Source organism: Homo sapiens, chromosome 4, assembly GCF_000001405.40.
Source record: "Homo sapiens chromosome 4, GRCh38.p14 Primary Assembly".
NCBI classification, from domain to species: domain Eukaryota; kingdom Metazoa; phylum Chordata; class Mammalia; order Primates; family Hominidae; genus Homo; species Homo sapiens.
The window spans coordinates 182,794,198-182,817,094 of NC_000004.12; the positions used below are offsets into that span (position 1 = coordinate 182,794,198).

Consider the following 22,897-nt stretch of genomic DNA (forward strand, 5'->3'; position numbering starts at 1 on the left):
AGTCCCAATCCCAGCTCCTCTCCCACAAGTTGTGTAGCTCTGTAAGCAAGCCATATGTTTTTTGAGTTTCCATTCCCTTAACTATAAAATTGGGATAATAATGGCTAACTTAGGGCACAAATATAATACATGAAATTCTGCAACAGATAGTAACTACCTTACGAATGTGTCATGTTGGGTTTTTTTAATACATGTGTGAAGTTCTCATGGAGATAATTAAGGTGAAACACAATACAAGGTGACACCATTTCATCCCTGGGAGGTGTTTAATTCCTGCCTCACCACCATTGCCTCAGGACAGTCACGAAGCCATTTCTCCCATCAGTTGCTTAGACAATGGATCCTGTGTCTGGACTCACTTCTGTCTTCTTACATCACTGTCTTCATTGCCAGTGCAGTTCTTGCATGGTGACAATACTAATAGGCATACTAATTTTTCCACGAATGTGGGATAATTTTCAGGGTACAGATTTAAGATCTTTCCAAGTTTAGTGCATGCTACCTTTTTAGTTATGCAAGATGTAGAACATCAGATCCCACTTCTGCCACCATGGAACAACCAGCATGTGAAACAGACAAGGTCCTTGCAAGCATTACTCTAGTTCCCTTTAGTGAGCTGACTTCTTCACTCAACCTCTACTCCAAGAATTCTGAATCCTGCTGCTCCTACCTTCCATTCCTGATATACAGCACCATCATTAACCCCTCTACCACATTTATATTTCCAGGAGGAAGGTTCTTTCCTGTTGTCTTTTTTTTTTGGGCTTGATTTAAGGTATTTTGGTTTTGTTTTGGCTTGTGTTAGATGCTCCTTTAGGCTGCCTCTTTTCTAGCTCAATATTTGAGGCATACTGAGATGTCTGTTCTCTCAGTTCTCAAAACAGCTCTCAACAGGTTGCCCCCTGTTCATTTCACATCTGCTTCCTACCTTTCCAGACTGTCTAAAGCATTTCATATCTCTTCCATGTGAACCAGCTGAAAGTCCCTCCTTTCTGCCTCCTGATTCAGCAGCACCCTTATTCTCATTCAGGGTTTTTCAATACACATCTGCCTTCAAACCCCATTATTTTGGCAGTACTTTTCAATACTTACGGTCCTCTGATTTTCACTGTTATGCAGACATTGTTCAGAGTAACAGAATTTTTGCCCCCAATACTCCAACATTTGGGAGAATTTTCTCCCAAAATAAGGCCCTCCCACCCCCAAACTCATATACACTCTTACATACACACAAATTGTGTCACTTTGCATCCTGTGTGAACCACTTAGGATTTATGTCTCCCCACCACCACTACTACCACCCCATTTCAAATAAAAAGAATACCACTGGTTTTATAGCCATATGATGCCTGGACGAATGACCTGCCAGCCTGGCAATGAGGTGAGAGTCTGTGCCCTAGAGAAGGAAATGGGAATCAAGTGGCTCTCCATCATTCTGACAGGCAGTTTACCACTGGTTATTTAAGGGGTGTTGACAGGGGCTGACTGAAAGTCTGGAAAGCCCACAGCTCCTGAATTCATCCTCTCCTAGCAACGTGGACTGCAGGGAATGCCATAGCAGCATTTTCTGAAAAACATCAAAAGAGAGATGGAACAGCATAAAATATATTAGGTGAAATGCAATTTCAAATTTTCCAGCAATGTGCTTAATATATAAAATAATCTACACCCAACCGTTCTCATAAAGCTGCAAGCCTGCTGAGTAGTTCTGTAACATTATAACCTCCAGAATAGAATAAAAGCCTTATTCTGAGCTGAATGGCTTTTGGAGTCACATGGCAATATTTTAAAATACCACCTTAAAGGTTTCCGGGTTCTCTCCCCAAAAAGTTTGTCTCCACCTGTGCACAGTGAGCCTTTGAAGTCACAACTGATGGTAATCAGGACTTCTGGGCCCTTGGCCAGTTTTGCCAGCTTGCAGCATTCATCTTTGATTAAGAATCAACTGTTGATTTTAATACTCTCAATTTAGGGGTTTTATTAATAGAAAATGGGTTGTGGAAGTCCGCATATCCTTGGGCAATCGCTTTGGAGAGCTAATAACACACAACTTCTATTTGAGACCAGCCTTGACCAACTACAAAATAAATTTCGTTTCTTTTCTACAAGTATGTCTCTCTCCTGCTGCTGTGCATTGTTCTTACCTTTGCTAGCACTGTTACTAGCACAGGCTGCAACTTAGCAGGACTGATGGCTTACCCAGTCTGTCTGAGCATCTATTACTCGCATTTTTCGTAGCATTTGCCATAGTTCTGCTGTGAAGGTTACCGTCTTCATGTCTAAAAACAGTAGGTTTAGATTTGTAGGACGAAAGCAAACAGGTGCTCTTTTTCAGATTATTAATTGTGAAATTGGATTTTCTTTTTAAGGTAAGAATTTAAATTTATGAAAGGACAAAACAAACTCCAACACCTTTCATTCTGAACATTCTTCTCCTAGATGTTAACAGCTGGCTGGTGACATTTGGTTTCCATCTGCACAATGCTATTCCTGGATTCCCTGTTCCCAAATTTGATTTAACAGAACCTTCTTACGAACTTGTGAAGAGTCAGCAGTGGGATGATATACCGGTAAGAAACAAAAAGACCTACGGAAAGGTGATAAGTAGCTTGTGTCTTATCTACCCATATCTAATCAAACTACCCTTGTGAAAACTGTACCAAAGACAGTTTTTAACTTTTTGACTGTTTTAGGGAAAAAAAACAACACTTCCTCTGCATTTGTGTTCAACAAACCAGAGGCCTCTTAAACAGGCTTAAATATGTTTTCAGCAATGCTAATGAAAACATAGAAATGCAGAAGCTCACTTTCGAGTGCTGGGTTTCTAAAAAGAACCCCAAGAAAGCGTGGACCTGAAGGCAAAAATACAATAAACAAAAGGGCAGGGAACTCATATTACAAATTAGCAAACCACAAACAATGCCACAAGGTTCAACTTCTTTAAAAATTAACAGTGTTTTGGCCGAGTGAGGGGGCTCACGCCTGTAATCCCAGCACTTTGGGAGGCCGAGGAGGTCGGATCACCTGAGGTCGGGAGTTCGAGACCAGCCTGACCAACATGGAGAAACCCCATCTCTACTAAAAATACAAAATTAGCCCGGCATGGTGGGGCATGCCTGTTATCCCAGCTACTCAGGAGGCTGAGGCAGGAGAATCACTTGAACCTGGGAGGCGGAGGTTGCAGTGACCCGAGATCACGCCATTGTACTCCAGCCTGAGCAACAAGAGCGAAACTCCGTCTCAAAAAAAAAATAATTAATTAATTAATAGTGTTTCATAGGAAAAGATTAAAAATAAAAATAAATGTCCTCTGGTAAGGCTCCACCTACAACCAGGAAGGTTTATGGAATTTTCCTGAGAATAGCAGATCAAGAGGCCTGTAACCATTATAAGAAATAAAGAAATATAATAGAAAATTGCAAAGTCAAAGCTGCCGCTTCAGAAAGTGGTACTTCTAATCCCCACCAGAGACCAGAAAGGAATGCACAGCAAAACACCAGAATTTCCAGCTTACAGTAAGAATAATTAGAGATGGAGAAACTGGGTGACTCCATGATCATAAGGAGAAGACAGTGCAGACTTTCTTAGGACAATTAATTCCCAACCACCCCTTGAGCAATTTCCTATCATTTCAATGAAAACAAAGAGAAGAGGCAGCCATGGTTAACACACACACAGGCTATCTACAGTACCAGTACCTGTTTTTTGTTGTTTCATACCTAATATAAAAGCAATTCCTTTTTCATAAGTTACAAATATAGTCGTGTGTGTGCAACATTTTGGTCAATGACAGACCTTGTATAAGGTGGTGATCACATAAGATTACAATATCATATATATTTTTTTTTAATTGAAATGGGGTCTCACTGTGTCACCCAGGCTGGAGTGCAGCCTTGACCTCCTGGGCTCAAGCGATCCTCCCACCTCAGGCTCCCAAGTATCTGGGACTACAGGCACGTGCCACCACACCCAGCTAATTTTTTATTTTTTGTAGAGATAAGAGTCTCCCTGCGTAGCACAGGCTGGTCTTGAACTCCTGGTCTCAAGCGTTCCTCCTGCCTCCACCTACTGAAGGGCTAGGATTACAGGCATGAGCCACCGGGCTCTGCCAACACTGTGTTTTTACTGTACCTCTTCTATGTTTAGATACACAAGTACTTACCATGGTGTTACAGTTGCCTGCAATATTCAGTACAGTCACACCGTATACAGGTTTGCAGCCTAGAAGCCATAGGCCATCCCATACAGCCTACGTGTGCAGTAGGCTACACCATCTAGGTTTGTGTAAGTGCCCGCTATGATGTTCACACAAGGACGAAATGGCCTAATGCCACATTTCTCAGAATGCCTCCCTGCGGTTAAGCAGTGCATGACTGTCTACACTGATACAGTGGCATGAAGACATACCGAAGTTTCCTAATGCATTTGAACATGCACTTCCTAATTGTGTATGACTTTCCAACATGCCTGAAAACACCTACATCTAACTGTACAAATGGACTTGCCAGCTCTTTTCCTAAGCAGCCTTTTAAATATGGTTCAAGTTCTCTGTCAAAAGAAGTGCACCATAAGGACAGCATAGGAAATCGTGGGCAAAGACACTGAGGCTGCCCCAAGTACAGAAAAACAACTGTTTCTTTCATTGCCGCAAATGAAACAGATGTTTTCATTTGGGAAACAATGGCCAGACAAACATCTGGTGGTATAAGAAATGGCTGAGTTAAGATGCCCCCAATTTAAAACATTTGCCAGTCTAGACGGTCCACTGTCCCTAAGTCTGAGAAAAATAATTGTTTTCCTAAAGTAACAAATATCGTCTCCAGCTGCCCCACCTTCCACTCATCCCTGTACATTTCAGTTCTGCGGTTACACTCACCATCTTCAGCTGAAAACTCTGCCAGGAGAGGGGACAGAGTTGACTTAAATACAAGCATTTCAAAGCATACGAAGCGGGGCCCTGTGATCGGCACTAAGTATCCCCAGCCGTTCAGATCCCTCTCTGTGTTTGGTGGCTTCTCAGCCTCCTGTGGAGAAAGCTACGAGCATGCAGATCCGGATGAGCTGGGTTCCCCACGTGGGGTGGGAGTGGGAAAAGAGCATCTAGAAACTGTAAGAGAAAAGCAAGAAACAGGACTATTTTTCCCATGTTAGAAACGAAGAAAGCTTTAAAGTGATCCACGATGAGTGAGCCATTTGGGGGTTCCAGAGCATCGGGATCACCTTGAGGGGGAGGGATCTCGAGTGCTCCCTCCACCCGGGCTGTCAGCCTTCTGGTCAGGGAAGGACCCCGGGGCTTCCATGCATGCCCCGGCGCTGCCCCCAGAGTCCCGTGTGTGGGTCAGGAGTGGGGAGGCTCCCGGCCGCCTCTGACGCGCCCCCTCTTTTGTTTCGCCCGCAGCCCATCTTCGGAGTCCAGCAGCAAGTGGCGCGGCAGGCCAAGGCCTTCCTGTCGCTGGGGAAGATGGCCGAGGTGCAGGTGAGCCGGCGCCGGGCCGGCGGCGCGCAGTCCTGGCTGTGGTTCGCCACGGTCAAGTCGCTGATCGGCAAGGGCGTCATGCTGGCCGTCAGCCAGGGCCGCGTGCAGACCAACGTGCTCAACATCGCCAACGAGGACTGCATCAAGGTGGCGGCCGTGCTCAACAACGCCTTCTACCTGGAGAACCTGCACTTCACCATCGAGGGCAAGGACACGCACTACTTCATCAAGACCACCACGCCCGAGAGCGACCTGGGCACGCTGCGGTTGACCAGCGGCCGCAAGGCGCTGGAGAACGGCATCAACGTGACGGTGTCGCAGTCCACCACGGTGGTGAACGGCAGGACGCGCAGGTTCGCGGACGTGGAGATGCAGTTCGGCGCGCTGGCGCTGCACGTGCGCTACGGCATGACCCTGGACGAGGAGAAGGCGCGCATCCTGGAGCAGGCGCGGCAGCGCGCGCTCGCCCGGGCCTGGGCGCGCGAGCAGCAGCGCGTGCGCGACGGCGAGGAGGGCGCGCGCCTCTGGACGGAGGGCGAGAAGCGGCAGCTGCTGAGCGCCGGCAAGGTGCAGGGCTACGACGGGTACTACGTACTCTCGGTGGAGCAGTACCCCGAGCTGGCCGACAGCGCCAACAACATCCAGTTCCTGCGGCAGAGCGAGATCGGCAGGAGGTAACGCCCGGGCCGCGCCCGCCGAGCCGCTCACGCCCTGCCCACATTGTCCTGTGGCACAACCCGAGTGGGACTCTCCAACGCCCAAGAGCCTTCCTCCCGGGGGAATGAGACTGCTGTTACGACCCACACCCACACCGCGAAAACAAGGACCGCTTTTTTCCGAATGACCTTAAAGGTGATCGGCTTTAACGAATATGTTTACATATGCATAGCGCTGCACTCAGTCGGACTGAACGTAGCCAGAGGAAAAAAAAATCATCAAGGACAAAGGCCTCGACCTGTTGCGCTGGGCCGTCTGTTCCTTCTAGGCACTGTATTTAACTAACTTTAAAAAAGAAAAAAAAATGTGTACAGTGTTTCCAAATAGTCCCGAATTGTCGACCTTTGCTTACAAGAAGTAGTCTGTCTGCATAGGATGTGATAGCTATCTCTGTTCATTTTACAATGTGGGGCAAAGTTACTGTTTCTAGACAACCCAACTGCTTTCCCTGTGCAGCTTTGTAGAAGGACATTGGCACAGTGACTTCTGCGGCGGGGATTTATTAATGGATTTTACAATGCTAACGTGGTTTCCCTTCGGGGAAAAAACTGGCAACTAGAATCCTTGTCACTGATAAGCAAAGGAAATCCTGATTTTTTTGTAAATTATGTGAGACAAGTTGTTTATGGATTTTTATATGAATTACAATTTACTGTACATCAAATCTTAGTCTCAGAGGAGTTAATTTATGTAAAGTGTTTAAAAATTTATACTTAAAAATAAAATGATAAAAACGTGAACTGTGTGATTTTTTTAAAAGGATTGCACCTTTTGTTATCTGTTATAGCTGTACAGTATGAATTATTATATTGTAGAGATATAACAACTTATGCCTATAATGTCCAGAAGTGTTAATATTTTTGTATTAGGTTGAAAAAATGTGCAAGCTTCTATCACTAGATGGATAGGACCGTGCAATTCTAGGTGGGTGGCGAATCAGAGAGCTCCTTTCTCTTCCCTCTCTCACGCATCAGGCCAGTGTCCTCAGCATTGTCAACTGAGAGGCACAGTAGACAACTAGGGCTGGTGGAATGTAAGGGAAGAAGATTGAAAAAACGGGAGGAAGGGTTCTCTGGCCCTCTCTCAACCTTGCAAGTCAATGGGGAGTTGTTGATATAATTAACCCCGAGGTTTTTACTGTTACTGTTCCAAAGCTCTGTCTCTTGATGGAGGAGAGACCACATCAGATGCTGGGGAAATAGGAGGAGGAAAGGTTCTGATGTAGTCGTGATCCTAAACACGTGTCTTAAGATCTAGGAAAGACAGCAGAAACCGAGCAGTGGTGGGTGAGCCAGATGGAGCCGGTCAGGGTTACTCTAAGCCCACATGACCAAACCATCTTGGGGGGCTGGTTTGAATGACAGCCTCTGCTCTGTCTCGGGGAAGCCGGGGGTGGCAGATCCAGCTGGAAGTGAACTGACAGCCGCGCCCTCCTGCACACATGCATGCACGCGTGTGGGAACGAGCCCAGCCGCCATCTGCACTTCCGTGTCGGCTCAGCTCTGACAAATCTCTTTCCTGAGCACTAAATTCAGCCACGAAAATATTTTTAGAAGATATTTCTCAGTTCATCGAGCTATAGTACACACTGTTTTCCTCTATGTATAATGGTGATAAAATATAGCAAGTGAACATGTCGTAAATATAAAGGTTCAAGTGATGTATTGAAAATAATTTTCTAACTGCTTTGTATGTATCACATACTCTAAATTGCACAGTAGGCGTGTTTATTAAACAGATGATTGGCTGGGAAAGTTTCAAAATAGCTACTGAATTTACAGTATCAGTGCTATTACTGTCTTTGTGTATTTGGTAGAGCATACCGAAGTAATTAATCTTCTAATGAATGCTGATGATATTTTATTAGAATGAAAGCACAGATTAGCATTAATATTTTTTATTCTGGAAATCCTTTGGCAAGTATTATGAAGCCCAAATTTAGAAAACTATGAGATTTCAAACCACATAAACATGATTCTGTTTTCCATTTTATTTTTTAACTGTTAGGTATTTGCAGTTCTGTTCCGTGGAACTTCTGCAGGCCTGTATTTAGCATGCTGTAAGTACTTTTGGGTGAAATAGGCTCTGAGTCTAAATTCTCAGACATGTTTCTGATGTATTACCATGAAAAGCTTGTGCCACATGACAGAAGTGAGATCATAGTCTTAACCTCTTCTTGACGTGGACTGGTCTTCACTCGGGCACCGATAAATAACAGATTTGGAGTATCTCCTGGTGCTTATTTTAGATGATGAAGTCAAATCAACCCAATTAGTGTCCTGTTAGTAGGTATAATGAGCCTATTTCTTTCTAAAAAGACTTGTGATCTGGACATGCTTTTACAAGAAATAGTGACCTTGGGGAATATGTAAACAAAAGACCTTTTTCTAAGAGTTGGGAGGGGGTGGGGGACTGTATAATGAAAAGAATTAGCTTACAAAAAAGAAATTGATATTCAAAGTATTTTAGGCAAAGCCAGTCAAAATGCTTTCATGATATTTTGAGATGTAAATTTTGTCTGATTTGTATTGTTCTTTTCATTTGCCTTCTTAACTTTATATGTGACCTGAATTTTCCATAACTTGATGACTATAGATTGCACCTAGGCATTCCAATAAAAGCCAACCCAATGTGTGTGTGTTTTTATATTTTTTCAAGTCTTGGGCTAGCCAGCATTGCTTTTGTGTTTAACGTGGAGGACGCAAATAGATGCAGTTGTTGGGGAATTGATTCATCTGCAACCCAGTTGGTAGTATCTTTTTTTTTTTTTTTTTTGTCCATTGGCCAGACTGCTGGCTCAGCAGAGTGAACTTCACAGGGGACTCTCCCATGGCCTACTTTAGAAAAACAGTAAACACACCCCCACAAAGCCAAACACGCTAACTGTAAAGAAGAGTTTACAAAAATACCACCCATTACTACTTGAGAGCAGGCCTCATTCCTGTGATCCTGGCAATAAGTGTGCTTAATTAAAACACTTGATTAGAATAATCAGTTTGGGCCTGGTAGGCTTGCAGCCTCCTGGAGATGTCTAAATCTACATATAGACCGGCTGATTAGAAGATGCTTAGTTCAGCAATTCTGGCCGGCAGGCCAGGGCTTTGATTTTAGTCGGAAGAGGCAGACTTCATCACACTTGCTTTCTAGTGACAACCTCAACTGCATAACGTGTTGATCCAGCAAGAATCAGGTCATTCCACTTGGCAAACTGGTCTGTTTTCTTCTCCTCGAATTAGACTTTAACATGATCAAAACGGAATTCCAGAAAAACAGGCGAAGTACTGCTTTCCTTCTCTACAGTCTTTTCCTTAAAAGTAATGTCTGAACAAATGCAAATAAAAATGGTGCCGGTAAAAATTATACCTTAGAAAAAATAATCTGAATATGGGATATGCTGCTGCCACATCCCGTGAAATTTGTCTTTACATTCACCACACATATCCTAACAGTTGCATGGGGTTCTAACTGCCAGACCGCAACAGAAGGGCAGCACCTGACTGTAAGTACTTCAAAATCAGGACCAGTCCTCAAGCGCTTGAAAAGATGAGGAGAGGAGCTGGAGGTTACAACGAGCTATGATCGCAGCACTGCTCTCCGGCCTGAGCGACACAAGACCCAGTCTCTTAAAAAAAAAAAAAAAAAAAGTTTTTTAATGAAAGAATGCCGTTGATGCTTTCCCTATCCGTGCCCACTCTTCACTCCGTTCACCATCTTTTCTTTCTCCTTTTGCCCTGGGCTACTCCTGAATGCAGTTGTTTCTCTCGCCTGCTGACAGCAAATCAGCTGTCCGAGGTGCTTTTGGAAAGGAGGGATTCAAGAGAGGAAGCCAGAAGGCACTGATCCACATCATGTTCTGTCTGGGTAAAACCACCCGGGCAGTGCTCACAGCCGCTCGCTTGCTGTTGTACAGAGGAGGACAAGGTCCACCTGGACCAAGAACTGCCACCACCCATCTGGCCGGGGCGGGGTGGGTATCATTTGATCTCCAGCAGAGTGGGGTGAGTCTGCCCCTGGGAAGCCTCGAAGGGCAACATATTAAGATCTCACCCTTCCATAGATACCCAAATTTCCTCCCACTTTCCTTCAAGGAGTGATCTGATTCCAGCATCCCAGTCCACAAAATGCATCCCCATTCCAGAAGCTGGAGGTGGAATGGAATTACAGAAATGAGTTGTCCAAGTTCACAGAAGTGGCTTAAGTTAAGGTGAGCAGAGATTCCCTTTGCTAGTACCCTCCACTACATCACAGCCTCCTCATAACGCTCCCCGGGAAGATACCGCAAATACTCCTTACCGCCCCCCTTCCCATGGGCACTTGATCTTTCCAAAGCTGCCATCATTTACAGCCAGGACTAGCATTTTTCATTCTATAACGATCCGCCGACACTAAACAAAACAGATGCCTTGAGTGCCCCCTCTGCCTGCCAGTATTTCTAGCTCCTCACGCCCTTCTGTGTAGGTAAGCCAAGTTTGACTCTCCATCATTTCCAAAAGAAAGACCATTGGGCTGTTTACCTAGATTTTCCATAAGTTATTCATCTGGCTTTGAACATCCTACTAGACCCATGAAAAAATAAAATAAAAATGAGTTATAACTCATTATCACCCATTTTAACCACAGAGTTAAGCCAGAGTACCAAACAGGTACTGATAAGCCATTTGAATTTTCTACCTTCTCATTTAAGCCACATAATGAATGTCCTCTGTTTGCCAGACTTCTCATTTGCTGTTCACCACCCCTGCAAGCAATGGTCTCTTGATGTTAGTTAATTACTAATAACTTTTAGGTAAATTGAGTAAACCTTTTCATTTATGAACCGACTTAGAATCCTGTCGTGGAGGAATACGGGATTCCTAGAGTCCCGTGGATAGAGAATTTACTATCAACCGATTCTAAGCCTAGAGTAACATCATTATTCAGTTTAGAGTTAATGGGTTCCTCAAAGCAAATTTAATAAATCCTTCTGGGATCTAAGCTCAGGAAAATTAAAATTAGAAGCATAAATTGTCACTTTTAGGGCAAGAGACTGGCTTGGTAACAGTCCCCCTGCTTACAGGGTGAATTGTGAGCTACGCTTAGCCCTGGCCACAGGCATTCATCCTGTATTATGCAGGGAAATCTCGTTCTTCCACCTGTGTGCAGAGATTTCCTGAATTCCAGCCACAGCGGCCATTTCTCTATGGCATAGCTCGCTGCACACAACTGTCAGGATTTACAAGCGGTCCGCTGGGTCAAAATGAATTTTTAAAAATGTTCACAAGTGAACTCTATCAGGGGAGAGTGCGGGGAGCATAAATGCCCAAGGACTTAAAATGACAAATTCTCGGGCGTGACTGAAAGGCTGAAAATGGGGCGCTCAGTGGAGGTCGGTGAGGAGGCTCACCAGGCTCTCTTCAACCTGGAGTTCTTCTGCACCGTGGTTAATGACCGTAGGCTGGAGACTGCCCCATCCCACACCTTCCTCCCACACGAACACTAGGGAAAGTCTAGTCTGCCTGTTCCAGAGAAAATTCTGCAAAAATCGTCCCCAGAACTATCTTTGCATCCACGATGCTCGCTCTCTCTCTCTCTCTCTCTCGCTCTCTCTCGTTGCAATGGGTCAGGTTGAATCTAACCCTCTCTGTCCTTTAAGGCTTGGAAGGAATGCCATAGGGCTCCCTCGGTGGGCCAGGGCGACGTTGATGACTCAGGATCTCAAAAGGACCTAGAGCCAGTCTGTCATCCCCAGTTTCTTAATTTATTGACAAAAGGTAACGAACAAGCAGATTGTAAAATATCTTTATTCAGCTATGACATGATTTCCAAGCTCAAAAAAAAAAAAAAAAAAAAAAAATCAAGCCTGGCGTTTAACTTCAGTCTGGAGCATTGACAGGTGACAGGTCACTGCAGAACACAGAGGTGACCCAAGGCAGAGAACGGGAGGTAGCGAGAGGAAGACGACACCCTTCCCTGAGTCCTCCCTCATCTGGGGCTTCCCTCTGGCCTTCCCCTGGGGTTCCTGGGACTCGGCTTCTGCGGACATGGAAAAGCCGTCCCAACATCCGGCGGCCCCGTGGGCAGGGGTCCTGGGACGCCCCCTCCTGCATCCCCGGGCGGGCCCTGCAGGGGATGGCGGCGATTTCAGGAAGGGCTCCGGCGCCCCCTAGTGACGCGCGGCTGTGGTAGGGAAAGTCCTGCACGCCAAAAGGGCAGTTCCCGGGCCAGAAACCGAGGTGAAACCGAAGAGAAGGCGCCGCCGCTCGCCGCTCGCCACTCTCCACCCCAACCGCGGCGGGGCCGGCTCTCTGACCCTCTCTTCCCCACCTCTGCTCTGCCCTCCGAGTTTCACACTTAAAGCGGAGACTTCTGCTTCAGCACCGCCGCACCGAGGCCTGGGCCCTGCCAAAGTGGCTCGGGTAAGATTTCCCTGCACGTCGAGCAGACACTGTCATGCCGCGTTGCTCTCACTCACAGATCGAAATAAGGCCCTTCCTCCCGGGAATCGTCCGCGGGCTGAGTTCCGCAGCGCCTGAAAACAGTGATTTCTGAACTATCATATTGTTTCCCTTTTACTTTTCATGTTAACAGTCCTGTCGCTGGAAAGAATGTCCCGGAAGAACGGATCACTTAAATTCAGAGTGGCATTTTTATTTCTGAGGGAGCTGGGCTCTCACGGAACGTGCTGGAGTGACAGCCTGGAAGAGCGAAAGCCGCCCCCCCTCCCGCTTCCCCGCAGCTCCCCAGCCGCCTCGGCCTGGCCTCCCTGCAGCGGTGACATCCAGTCTCCCTCCTCTACCCAAGCCTGCGGCAGCCACGAAAGCCACCGCGGCGCAGAAGTGGGGAGGGATTCAACCTTTTGCCCCTGGGTTGTCGCCCAGAGAAGCCAATGGATGCTAATCTCATATAGCAGCCTGTTTGCTGGTGTCCTGCCTTCAGAAACCGGCCGTGAGTGAGCCCGCTGGCATTTTGGGAGGCCAATATATAGGCCCTTTTTCCTACCCGGGTTCTCGCTGAAATGAGTAAGGCCGGAGATGGCTCAGGAAAGCCAAAATATCACCTAGATAAAGGCCGGGTTGGGAAGCAGCAGGCACAGCTGCATGGGAAATCCCAAAGGGCCACTAACGGGACACCAAGATAGATCAGCCAGGCGCTGGCAGCAGTGGCAGGATGACGGGAGAGGCCCTGCTCCCTGAGCTGGAGCCCAGCGTGCCCATGCCCAGTTCGTTCCTCCCCACTCACCAGGAGGGCAAAGCGCTCCCCTGCCCACTGGGAGCCGGGATGACCAGGAGGCCCGGAGTGAGATATCTGTCTCTCTCTCTCTCTCTGTCACACACACACACACACACAGACACACACACACACACACACACACACACACATATATCACCAAGGAGGCTGTGGGCTGTGGCACTAGGAGAAATATTGCACCAGGTCTGGAGCCCCGGGTTTGCGGATGCTGCCCCCACCGCCTGTGGCCTTCAGCCAGGTTGCTTCCCGCCCTGGGCCTCTGCCGAAGCCAGAGGCAGGGGCTCTCCACCGGCAGCAGCGAGCGCCTCGCCTGCTGTGACAACTCTGTCTGGCTCTGGGGCTGCTCGGGAACCCGGTCCTAAACACAAGTTCTTGGGTCGTAAGCACAGGCTGGCAGTCCCAGATCGGGAGGCCCCATGCATCTGCTCCCGACCTGAGTCCCTCGCCCTGGCTCCCACTCCGCCACCCCATGGCGCTGCCTGCGAGAGGCGCCGGAGCCAGGCTCTGGCCTTTTCCGAGGCGGCTGCCTGCCGGTTCCTCTCGCGCCTGTTACACGGCGGACGGCAGGCTCCCGGGCTCTTGTAAATCAAAGGGCAACAGGACTCGCCTCGCCACCACTCAGGCTCTTTCTGCGGCCTCTGCCAATTAGTGCTCCAGTTAATCACACTTAGCAACTCCCTGGAGAAGCAGCGAAGCCGGGAGGAGCCCAGCGTGGGAGACCCCCTCAGGCTGGCTCTGCCGAGACGGAGATGACCACTGGCCTCTGCGCCTTGGTTTCCCCATCTTTACAGTGAACCCAGACCTTGGTCCCCAGCCGCCCCTCCCCACTTCCCGTGCCAAGACGCTGCATGTGTGTGCACACACACACGCATCTGTGTACGCATGTGTGCATGTGTGTGTGCATGTGCGTGTGTGCCTGCAAGTGCGTGTATGTGTGCATTTCTGTGTGTGTGTGCGTGTGCATATGTGTGGGGTGTGTGCACGTGTGTGAGTATATGCATGTGAGTGTGCACACGTGTATGTGTGCCTTTGTGTATGTGTGTGTGCACGCACATGTGGGTGGGTGTGTGCGTGTGGATGTGAGTACGTAATGTGCGCGCACATGTGTGAGTGTATGCATGTGAGTGTGCACGTATGTGTATGTGTGTTTGCGTATGTGTGCACGTGTGCATGTGGGGGTGTGCGTGTGTGGATGTGTGTACATAACGTGTGTGTGCATGTGTGAGTGTATGCATGTGAGTGTGCACGTATGTGTATGTGTGTGTTTGCATATGTGTGCACGTGCTGTGGGTGTGTGCATGTGCACGCATGTGTGTGCATGTGCGTGTGTGCAGGCATGTGTGCATGTGTGCATGTGCGTGTGTGTGCATGTGTGTTTGTGCATGTGTGTGTGCATGTGTATGTGTGTGGACAGAAAAAGCTAGAAGAAAGAGCCCATGGTGATATCAAGGCTACCACCCAGACGTCTTTCACCATCTCCTGGGAAAGTCCCCGAGCTGCGGGAACCCCAGCCACAAAGCTCAGCCACATGAAGAGGCCCCAGGACGGGAAGGGGGTTGCTCTCCCTGCAGCCCCCACCCACCAGGGAGGGAAGTGGCGAGCAGGGCTCCCTGGCACCTCCTCACACTTCCTGCAGGACAGAGCCTAGTAGCTGCCCTGTCCCCACCCCAGAGCTCACTGCTCGCCGTTTGAAGATGATGCAGCCTGACTCTCGGGCGTGAGTATTTGTAACCGCACAGGAAATGACACGGAGCATGGCAACCTGCAAACACAGCCCTGCCAGCATCCCATGCTTTGCCCTGCTCCAGAAAAGGAAACTCGAGGAGGAAGGAAGTGGGCAGAGGAGACAGCACAGGGTCCCTGGGTCCATGCCTGATGGTGCCCAATGTTGTCCCCCTTTTTCTGGCAGCCTTAAAGGCTAGAACTGGACTGAACCCCAAGGGCACGCCTCACCAGTTCTCCCTCCTGGGCCCTGCCTGGTCCCTGGCGGCATCAGGCCTCGCTGGTCATCAAGTTCAAGACCCTGGCAGTGAGGGTGCCCAAAATGGTGGCCCCCTGAAAACAGGCCAAGTCCAGTGCCAAGGCAAGTGAAAGGGTTCTGCCTCACAGTAAAAACCACCCCATATTGGTGGTTTTGCCCTGCCATTTCATAGTCCCCCAGCCCCACAAAAAGACAAGGATCCTTTCTACTTCTGCCCACAGTCACTTGTGAGAGCCAGGGCCATGACCCAACCCTGAGTCTGTCACCACCCCCACACCTTCCCAGGGATCCTGGGCAGGGACAGGTGGAATGCAGGCAGGGCAGGAGCATCCCCGAGAGGGCCCTCCAGGGGGAGCACTGCTTACTTTACACCCTCACCATACACACTCACACCACACACACACACACCACCACACACACCACATACACACACACCACATACACACATATCAGATACACACCACACACACCATCACATACACACACACACTCTCACCACACAACACACACGCCCTCACAACACACACACACATCACTACACACACCTCCTCACCACACACATACACCACACACACACAGACCCCACACAAATATGCACAACACACATGCACACCACACAATCACACACCATCTCACCACACACTTACCAACACATACCATCACCACACACACACCATACAAACACACACACACACCATACAAACACACATACACCACACACATATGCTATCACAACACACATACACACCCTCACCACACACACCAACACACAGCACACACACATACCATCACTACACAGACACACCCTCACCACATACATACCACACACACACACCCTCACCACATACATACGACACACGCACACACCATCACCACACACAAATACACTCACCATGCACACTCCCTATCACCACACCCACCACACACCCTCACCACATACACACACAACACATACACACTCACCACACACACACTGTATTAGTTCGTTCTCATATTGCTGTAAGGAAATACCCAAGACTGGATAATTTATAAAGGAAAGAGGCTTAATTGACTCACAGTTCCACATGGCTTCAGAGGCCTCAGAAAACTTAAAATCATGGTGGAAAGGGAAGAGGCATGTTTGACATGGCGACAGGAGAGAGAGAGAATGCATACATAGAAGGAACTGTCAAACACTTATAAAACCATCAGATCTTGTGAGAACTCACTCACTTTCATGAGAGCAGCATGGGGGAAACCACCCCCATGATCCAGTCACTTCCCACCAGGTCCCTCCCTCAAAACCTGGGGATTATGGGGATTACAATTCAAGATGAGATTTGGGTGGGGACACAGAGCCAAACCATATCATTCCACCCCTGGCCTCTCCCAAATCTCATGTTCTCACATTTCAAAACAAACAGGCCTTCCCAACAGTCCCTTAAAGTCTTAACTCATTCCAGCATTAACTCAAAAGTCCAACTCCAAAGTCTCATCTGAGACAAGGCAAGTCCCTTCTGCCTGTGAGCCTATAAAATCAAAAACAAGTTAGTTACTTCCTAGATACAATGGGGGTACAGACATGGGATAAATACATCCATTCCAAATTGGAGAAATTGCCCAGAATGAAGGGGCTACAGGCCCCATATGAGTCTGAAATCCAGCAGGGCAGTAAATCTTAAAGCTCTGAAATGATCTCCTTTGACTCCATGTCTCACATCCAGGTCACTCTGATGCAATGGGTGGGCTTCCACAGCTTTGGGCAGCTCCACCCCTGTGGTTCTGCAGGGTACATGCCCCTCTGGCTGCTTTCATGGGCTGGTATTGAGTGTCTGCAGCTTTTCCAGGTGCATGGTGCAAGCTGTCGGTAGATCTACCATTCTGGGGTCTGGAGGATGGCAGCCCTCTACTCACAGCTCCTCTAGGCAATGCCCAGTGGGGACTCTGTGTGGGGGCTCTGACCCCACATTTCACTTCTGCACTAACCTAGCAGAGGTTCTCCATGAAGGCTCTACCCCTGCAGCAAACTTCTGCCTGGACATCCAGGCATTTCCATACATCCTCTGAAATCTAGGTGGAGGTTCCCAAACCTCAATTCTTGATTTCTGTGCAACTTCAGGCCCAATACCACGTGTAAGCTGCCAAGTCTTGGGGCTTGCACCCTTTGAAGCAATGGCCTGAGCTGTACATCAGCCCCTTTTAGCCACAGCTGGGATGCAGGGCACCAAGTCCTGAGACTGCACAAAGCAGCAAGCCCAGCCCACAAAACCATTTTTATCTCCTAGACCTCCAGGCCTGTGATGGGAGGGGCTGCTGTGAAGACCTCTTACATGCCCTGGAGACATGTTCCCCATTGTCTTGGCGATTAACATTTGGCTTTTCATTACTTATGCAAGTTTCTGCAGCCAGCTTGAATTCACCTCAGAAAATGTGTTTTTCTTTTCTATCACATCGTCAGGCTGCCAATTTTCCAAATTTTTATGCTCTGCTTCCCTTTTAAACATTAGTTCCAATTCCCAACCATCTCTTTGTGAATGTATACAACCGAATGCCTTTAAGAGCACCCAAGTCATCTCTTGAATGCTTTACTGCTTAGAAATTTCTTCCACCAGATACCCTAAATCATCTCTCTCAAGCTCAAAGTTCCACATAATTCTAGAGCAGGGGCAAAATGCCACCAGTCTCTTTGCTAAAGCAGAACAAGAATCATCTTTATTCCAGTTCCCAAAAAGTTCCTCATCTCCATCTGAGACCACCTCAGCCTGGATTTCATTGTCCATATCACTATCAGCATTTTGGTCAAAGCCATTCAACAAATCTCTAGCAAGTTTCAAACTTTCCCACATTTTCCTTCCTTCTTCTGAATCTTCCAAATTGTTCCAACCTCTGCCTGTTACCCAGTTCTAAAGTCACTTCCACATTTTCAGGTATCTTTATAGCAGCACACCACTCTCTGTGGTACCAATTTACTGCATTAGTCCCTTTGCATACTGCTATAAAGTGTTGGCTGGCCGGGCATGGTGGCTCACACCTGTAATCCCAGCACTTTGGGAGGCCAAGGCAGGCAGATCATGAGGTCAGGAGATCGAGACTATCCTGGCGACCACGGTGAAATCCTGTCTCTACTAAAGATACAAAAAGATTCACCGGGCATGGTGGCAGGCGCCTGTAGTCCCAGCTACTCGGGAGGCTGAGGCAGGAGAATGGCGTTAACCTGGGAGGCGGAGCTTGCAGTGAGCCGAGATCGCGCCACTGCACTCCAGCCTGGGCGACAGAGAGAGACTCCGTCTCAAAAAAAAAAAAAAAAAGTATTGGCCAAGATGGGGTAATTTATAAAGGAAAGAGGTTTAATTTACTTACAGTTCGGCATGGCTGGGAGGCCTCAGGGAACTTACAATCATGGCAGAAGGGGATGGGAAAGCAAGGCACCTTCTTCACAGGGTGGCAGGAAGGAGAAGTTCCAAGCGAAGGGGAAGAGTCCCTTATAAAACCACCAGATCTCTTGAGAGCTCACTCACTATCATGAGAACAGCATGATGGGGGAAGGAGAAAACCACCCCCGTGATGCAGTCACTTCCTACCAGGTCCCACCCTCAACACATGGGGATTATGGGAACTACAAGTCAAGGTGAGGTTTGGGTGGGGACACAGTGAAACCATATCACACGCACAGCACACACACACTCACCACACACACACCCTACACACACCCTTACCACACACACCACATAGAGACACACACACCTCACCACACATGCACACTCACCACGCCATCACACACACACACCACACACACCACAGAGACACACACTTACCTCGCCACACATGCACACTCACCACACCATCACACACCCTCACCACACATGCACACTCACACCATCACACACACACACCACACACCACATAGAGACACACACACACCCTCACCACACATGCACACTCACCACACCATCACACACACACACACCACACATGCCACAGAGACACACACACACCCTCACCACACATGCACACTCACCACACCATCACACACACACACATTTCTGCCTGACTATAGCAAGGCAACTACTTGCTGCCCCTGCCCCTCAGTTTCCTCTGTGTTTAACATTCTCCCCTACCCCATCCACCTCCCTTGCCTGAGAGTGCCTGAATGAGAGGCAGCAGACCCAGCATCCCCTGCACTGTTGCTAGAGAGGCGTCTGTGTCCAGGGTGGGCCAGGGCCGGGTGGGAAAGCCAGCTTCTCAGAGCACTGGGTCACTCACGATATCCCTGGTCAGGGGTTCTCTGGTGCCCAGTTCCTAGGACCGCCATGGAGGGTTTTGCAAGCAGGGGGACCCCTCAGGACTGGCTGTCAGGAGGGTGGAGGAAGGGGCCTCTCCCCCAGAGAAAGTGCTGGGGCAGTTCCTGGAGCCCACTGTGCCATTACCCATCACCATCCCTGGGCACCTCCATCAGAGGGTCCAGGATGCCAAAGGGACCCCACAGGGGACCAAGTCTAAGACCCTGTGAGACCCCCGTCCATGGTCTGCCACTAGTTTTTAGCTGTGGATCATTTTGTCAATGAAATCTCACAAGAGGGCAAAGCAGACACAGGCCTAGCTGCCCAGATGGAAGTAGGAGTGGGGGTCAGACCGCCCAACGTGTTGGCCCCCAAGTCTATGAGTGGCAGGCACGCCTGAGCATGTGCCTGTGAGAGTCACCGTGGAAGGTGCCAGAAAAAATAACCCTGTCTGTCAGGCCTCTGAGCCCAAGCCAACCCATCGCATCCCCTGTGACTTGCACGTATACGCCCAGATGGCCTGAAGTAACTGAAGAATCACAAAAGAAGTGAAAAGGCCCTGCCCCGCCTTAACTGATGACATTCCACCATTGTGATTTGTTCCTGCCCCACCTTAACTGAGTGATTAACCCTGCAAATTTCCTTCTCCTGGCTCAGAAGCTCCCCCACTGAGCACCCTGTGACCCCCACCCCTGCCCACCAGAGAACAACCCCCTTTGACTGTAATTTTCCATTACCTTCCCAAATCCTATAAAACGGCCCCACCCCTATCTCCCTTTGCTGACTCTCTTTTTGGACTCAGCCCGCCTGCACCCAGGTGAAATAAACAGCCATGTTGCTCACACAAAGCCTGTTTGGTGGTCTCTTCACACAGATGCGCAAGAAATTTGGTGCCGTGACTCGGATCAGGGGACCTCCCCTGGGAGATCAATCCCCCGTCCTCCTGCTCTTTACTCCATGAGAAAGACCCACCTACGACCTCAGGTCCTCAGACCAACCAGCCCAAGAAACATCTCACCAATTTCAAATCCGGTAAGCGGCCTCTTTTTACTCTCTTCTCCAACCTCCCTCACTATCCCTCAACCTCTTTCTCCTTTCAATCTTGGCGCCACACTTCAATCTCTCCCTTCTCTTAATTTCAATTCCTTTCATTTTCTGGTAGAGACAAAGGAGACATGTTTTATCCGTGTACCCAAAACTCCGGCGCCAGTCACGGACTGGGAAGGCAGCCTTCCCTTGGTGTTTAATCATTGCAGGGACGCCTCTCTGATTATACACCCACGTTTCAAGGGTGTCAGACCACGCAGGGACACCTGCTTTGGTCCTTCACCCTTAGCGGCAAGTCCCGCTTTTCTGGGGAAGGAGCAAGTACCCCAACCCCTTCTCTCCTTGTCTCTACCCCTTCTCTGCTTTTCCAGGGACAGGGCAAGTACCCCAACCCCTTCTCTCCTTGTCTCTACCCCTTCTCTGCTTTTCCGGGGAGAGGGCAAGTACCCCAACCCCTTCTCTCCTTGTCTCTACCCCTTCTCTGCTTTTCCAGGGACAGGGCAAGTACCCCAACCCCTTCTCTCCTTGTCTCTACCCCTTCTCTGCTTTTCTGGGAGAGGGGAAAGTACCCCTCAACCCCTTCTCCTTCACCCTTAGCGGCAAGTCCCGCTCTCCTAGGGGGCAAGAACCCCCCAATCGCTTATTTCCATGCCCCAACCTCTGATCTCTGCGCCCCAATCACTTATTTCCATGCCCCAACCTCTTATGTCTGTGCCCCAATCCCTTTTTTCCACACCCCAACCTCTTATTTCTGTACCCCAATCCCTTATTTCCATGCCCCAACCCTTTCTCTGCTTTTCTGGAGGGCAAGAACCCCCCACCCCTTCTCCGTGTCTCTACTCTTTTCTCTGGGCTTGCCTCCTTTACTATGGGCAAGCTTCCACCTTCCATTCCTCCTTCTTCTCCCTTAGCCTGTATTCTTAAGAACTTAAAACCTCTTCAATTCTCACCTGACCTAAAATCTAAGCGTCTCATTTTCTTCTGCAATGCCGCTTGACCCCAATACAAACTCGACAGTAGTTCCAAATAGCCAGAAAACGGCACTTTCAATTTTTCCATCCTACAAGATCTAAATAATTCTTGTCGTAAAATGGGCAAATGGTCTGAGGTGCCTGACGTCCAGGCATTCTTTTACACATCAGTCCCTTCCTAGTCTCTGTGGCCAGTGCAACTCGTCCCAAATCTTCCTTCTTTCCCTCCCGCCTGTCCCCTCAGTACCAACCCCAAGCGTCGCTGAGTCTTTCTAATCTTCCTTTTCTACAGACCCATCTGACCTCTCCCTTCCTCCCCAGGCTGCTCCTCGCCAGGCCGAGCTAGGTCCCAATTCTTCCTCAGCCTCCGCTCCTCCACCCTATAATCCTTTTATCACCTCCCCTCCTCACACCTGCTCCGGCTTACAGTTTCGTTCCGTGACTAGCCCTCCCCCTCCTGCCCAGCAATTTACTCTTAAAAAGGTGGCTGGAGCCAAAGGCATAGTCAGGGTTAATGCTCCTTTTTCTTTATCCCAAATCAGATAGTGTTTAGGCTTTTTCATCAAATATAAAAACCCAGCCCAGTTCATGGCTCATTCGGCAGCAACCCTGAGACGCTTTACAGCTCTAGACCCTAAAAGGTCAAAAGGCCGTCTTATGCTCAATATACATTTTATTACCCAATCTGCCCCGGACATTAAATAAAACTCCAAAAATTAAATCCGGCCCTCAAACCCCACAACAGGACTTAATTGACCTCACCTTCAAGGTGTAGAATAATAAAAAAAAAAAGTTGCAATTCCTTGCCTCCGCTGTGAGACAAACCCCAGCCACATCTCCAGCACACAAGAACTTCCAAATGCCTGAACCACAGCAGCCAGGCGTTCCTCCAGAACCTCCTCCCACAGGAGCTTGCTACATGTGCCGGAAATCTGGCCACTAGGCCAAGGAATGCCTGCAGCCCCGGATTCCTCCTAAGCCGTGTCCCATCTGTGCGGGACCCCACTGAAAATCGGACTGTTCAACTCACCTGGCAGCCACTCTCAGAGACCCTGGAACTCTGGCCCAAGGCTCTCTGACTCCTTCCCAGATCTTCTTGGCTTAGCGGCTGAAGACTGACACTGCCCGATCGCCTCGGAAGCCCCCTAGACCATCATGGACGCCGAGCTTCGGGTAACTCTCACAGTGGAAGGTAAGCCCGTCCCCTTCTTAATCAATA

At 48.8% G+C, this 22,897-nt stretch overlaps 1 protein-coding gene across 31 annotated transcripts in view, besides 14 other annotated features; it reads left to right on the forward strand.

Moving 5' to 3' along the window:
* Positions 1-8,827, forward strand: part of TENM3 (teneurin transmembrane protein 3) — a 1,355,412-nt gene extending 1,346,585 nt beyond the window's left edge. For all 31 annotated transcript variants that reach the window (XM_017008385.2, XM_017008389.2, XM_017008390.2 and 28 more), the window contains 2 exons: positions 2,440-2,570; positions 5,399-8,827. In XM_017008385.2, the coding sequence (XP_016863874.1) occupies positions 2,440-2,570; positions 5,399-6,154 (887 nt within the window). In that variant the 3' untranslated portion in view covers positions 6,155-8,827. The remainder of the gene's footprint in view (positions 1-2,439; positions 2,571-5,398) is intronic.
* Positions 9,614-9,783: an enhancer, noted in NCBI's record as "experimental_76710 CRE fragment used in MPRA reporter constructs". NCBI's record gives its function as "activates a minimal promoter by MPRAs in K562 erythroleukemia cells, with activity observed for the introgressed 4:183725049 variant allele {active_cell/tissue: K562}" and the evidence as "EXISTENCE:reporter gene assay evidence [ECO:0000049][PMID:34662402]".
* Positions 12,197-12,286: a silencer, noted in NCBI's record as "silent region_15822". NCBI's record gives its function as "represses an Ori minimal core promoter by ATAC-STARR-seq in GM12878 lymphoblastoid cells {active_cell/tissue: GM12878}" and the evidence as "EXISTENCE:reporter gene assay evidence [ECO:0000049][PMID:35858748]".
* Positions 12,307-12,356: a silencer, noted in NCBI's record as "silent region_15823". NCBI's record gives its function as "represses an Ori minimal core promoter by ATAC-STARR-seq in GM12878 lymphoblastoid cells {active_cell/tissue: GM12878}" and the evidence as "EXISTENCE:reporter gene assay evidence [ECO:0000049][PMID:35858748]".
* Positions 13,436-14,374: an enhancer, noted in NCBI's record as "H3K4me1 hESC enhancer chr4:183728786-183729724 (GRCh37/hg19 assembly coordinates)". NCBI's record gives its function as "activates a minimal SCP1, AML or CMV promoter by ChIP-STARR-seq in naive H9 embryonic stem cells {active_cell/tissue: H9 hESC(naive)}" and the evidence as "EXISTENCE:reporter gene assay evidence [ECO:0000049][PMID:30033119]".
* Positions 14,503-15,004: an enhancer, noted in NCBI's record as "H3K4me1 hESC enhancer chr4:183729853-183730354 (GRCh37/hg19 assembly coordinates)". NCBI's record gives its function as "activates a minimal SCP1, AML or CMV promoter by ChIP-STARR-seq in naive H9 embryonic stem cells {active_cell/tissue: H9 hESC(naive)}" and the evidence as "EXISTENCE:reporter gene assay evidence [ECO:0000049][PMID:30033119]".
* Positions 15,649-15,768: a silencer, noted in NCBI's record as "silent region_15824". NCBI's record gives its function as "represses an Ori minimal core promoter by ATAC-STARR-seq in GM12878 lymphoblastoid cells {active_cell/tissue: GM12878}" and the evidence as "EXISTENCE:reporter gene assay evidence [ECO:0000049][PMID:35858748]".
* Positions 19,942-20,497: an enhancer, noted in NCBI's record as "NANOG-H3K4me1 hESC enhancer chr4:183735292-183735847 (GRCh37/hg19 assembly coordinates)". NCBI's record gives its function as "activates a minimal SCP1, AML or CMV promoter by ChIP-STARR-seq in naive H9 embryonic stem cells {active_cell/tissue: H9 hESC(naive)}" and the evidence as "EXISTENCE:reporter gene assay evidence [ECO:0000049][PMID:30033119]".
* Positions 20,547-22,897: part of a mobile genetic element, noted in NCBI's record as "direction; forward", that runs on past the window's edge.
* Positions 21,008-21,068: a tandem repeat, noted in NCBI's record as "polymorphic allele, with some alleles containing two repeats, rather than four repeats". NCBI's record gives the evidence for it as "EXISTENCE:nucleotide sequencing assay evidence [ECO:0000219][PMID:22260357]".
* Positions 21,069-21,129: a tandem repeat, noted in NCBI's record as "polymorphic allele, with some alleles containing two repeats, rather than four repeats". NCBI's record gives the evidence for it as "EXISTENCE:nucleotide sequencing assay evidence [ECO:0000219][PMID:22260357]".
* Positions 21,130-21,190: a tandem repeat, noted in NCBI's record as "polymorphic allele, with some alleles containing two repeats, rather than four repeats". NCBI's record gives the evidence for it as "EXISTENCE:nucleotide sequencing assay evidence [ECO:0000219][PMID:22260357]".
* Positions 21,191-21,251: a tandem repeat, noted in NCBI's record as "polymorphic allele, with some alleles containing two repeats, rather than four repeats". NCBI's record gives the evidence for it as "EXISTENCE:nucleotide sequencing assay evidence [ECO:0000219][PMID:22260357]".
* Positions 21,808-21,868: a non allelic homologous recombination region, noted in NCBI's record as "chr4 18q-146C recombination sub-region, recombines with the chr18 18q-146C recombination sub-region within the chr 18 t(4;18)(q35;q18) HERV-H recombination region, resulting in a translocation". NCBI's record gives the evidence for it as "EXISTENCE:nucleotide sequencing assay evidence [ECO:0000219][PMID:22260357]".
* Positions 21,939-22,036: a non allelic homologous recombination region, noted in NCBI's record as "chr4 18q-82C recombination sub-region, recombines with the chr18 18q-82C recombination sub-region within the chr 18 t(4;18)(q35;q18) HERV-H recombination region, resulting in a translocation". NCBI's record gives the evidence for it as "EXISTENCE:nucleotide sequencing assay evidence [ECO:0000219][PMID:22260357]".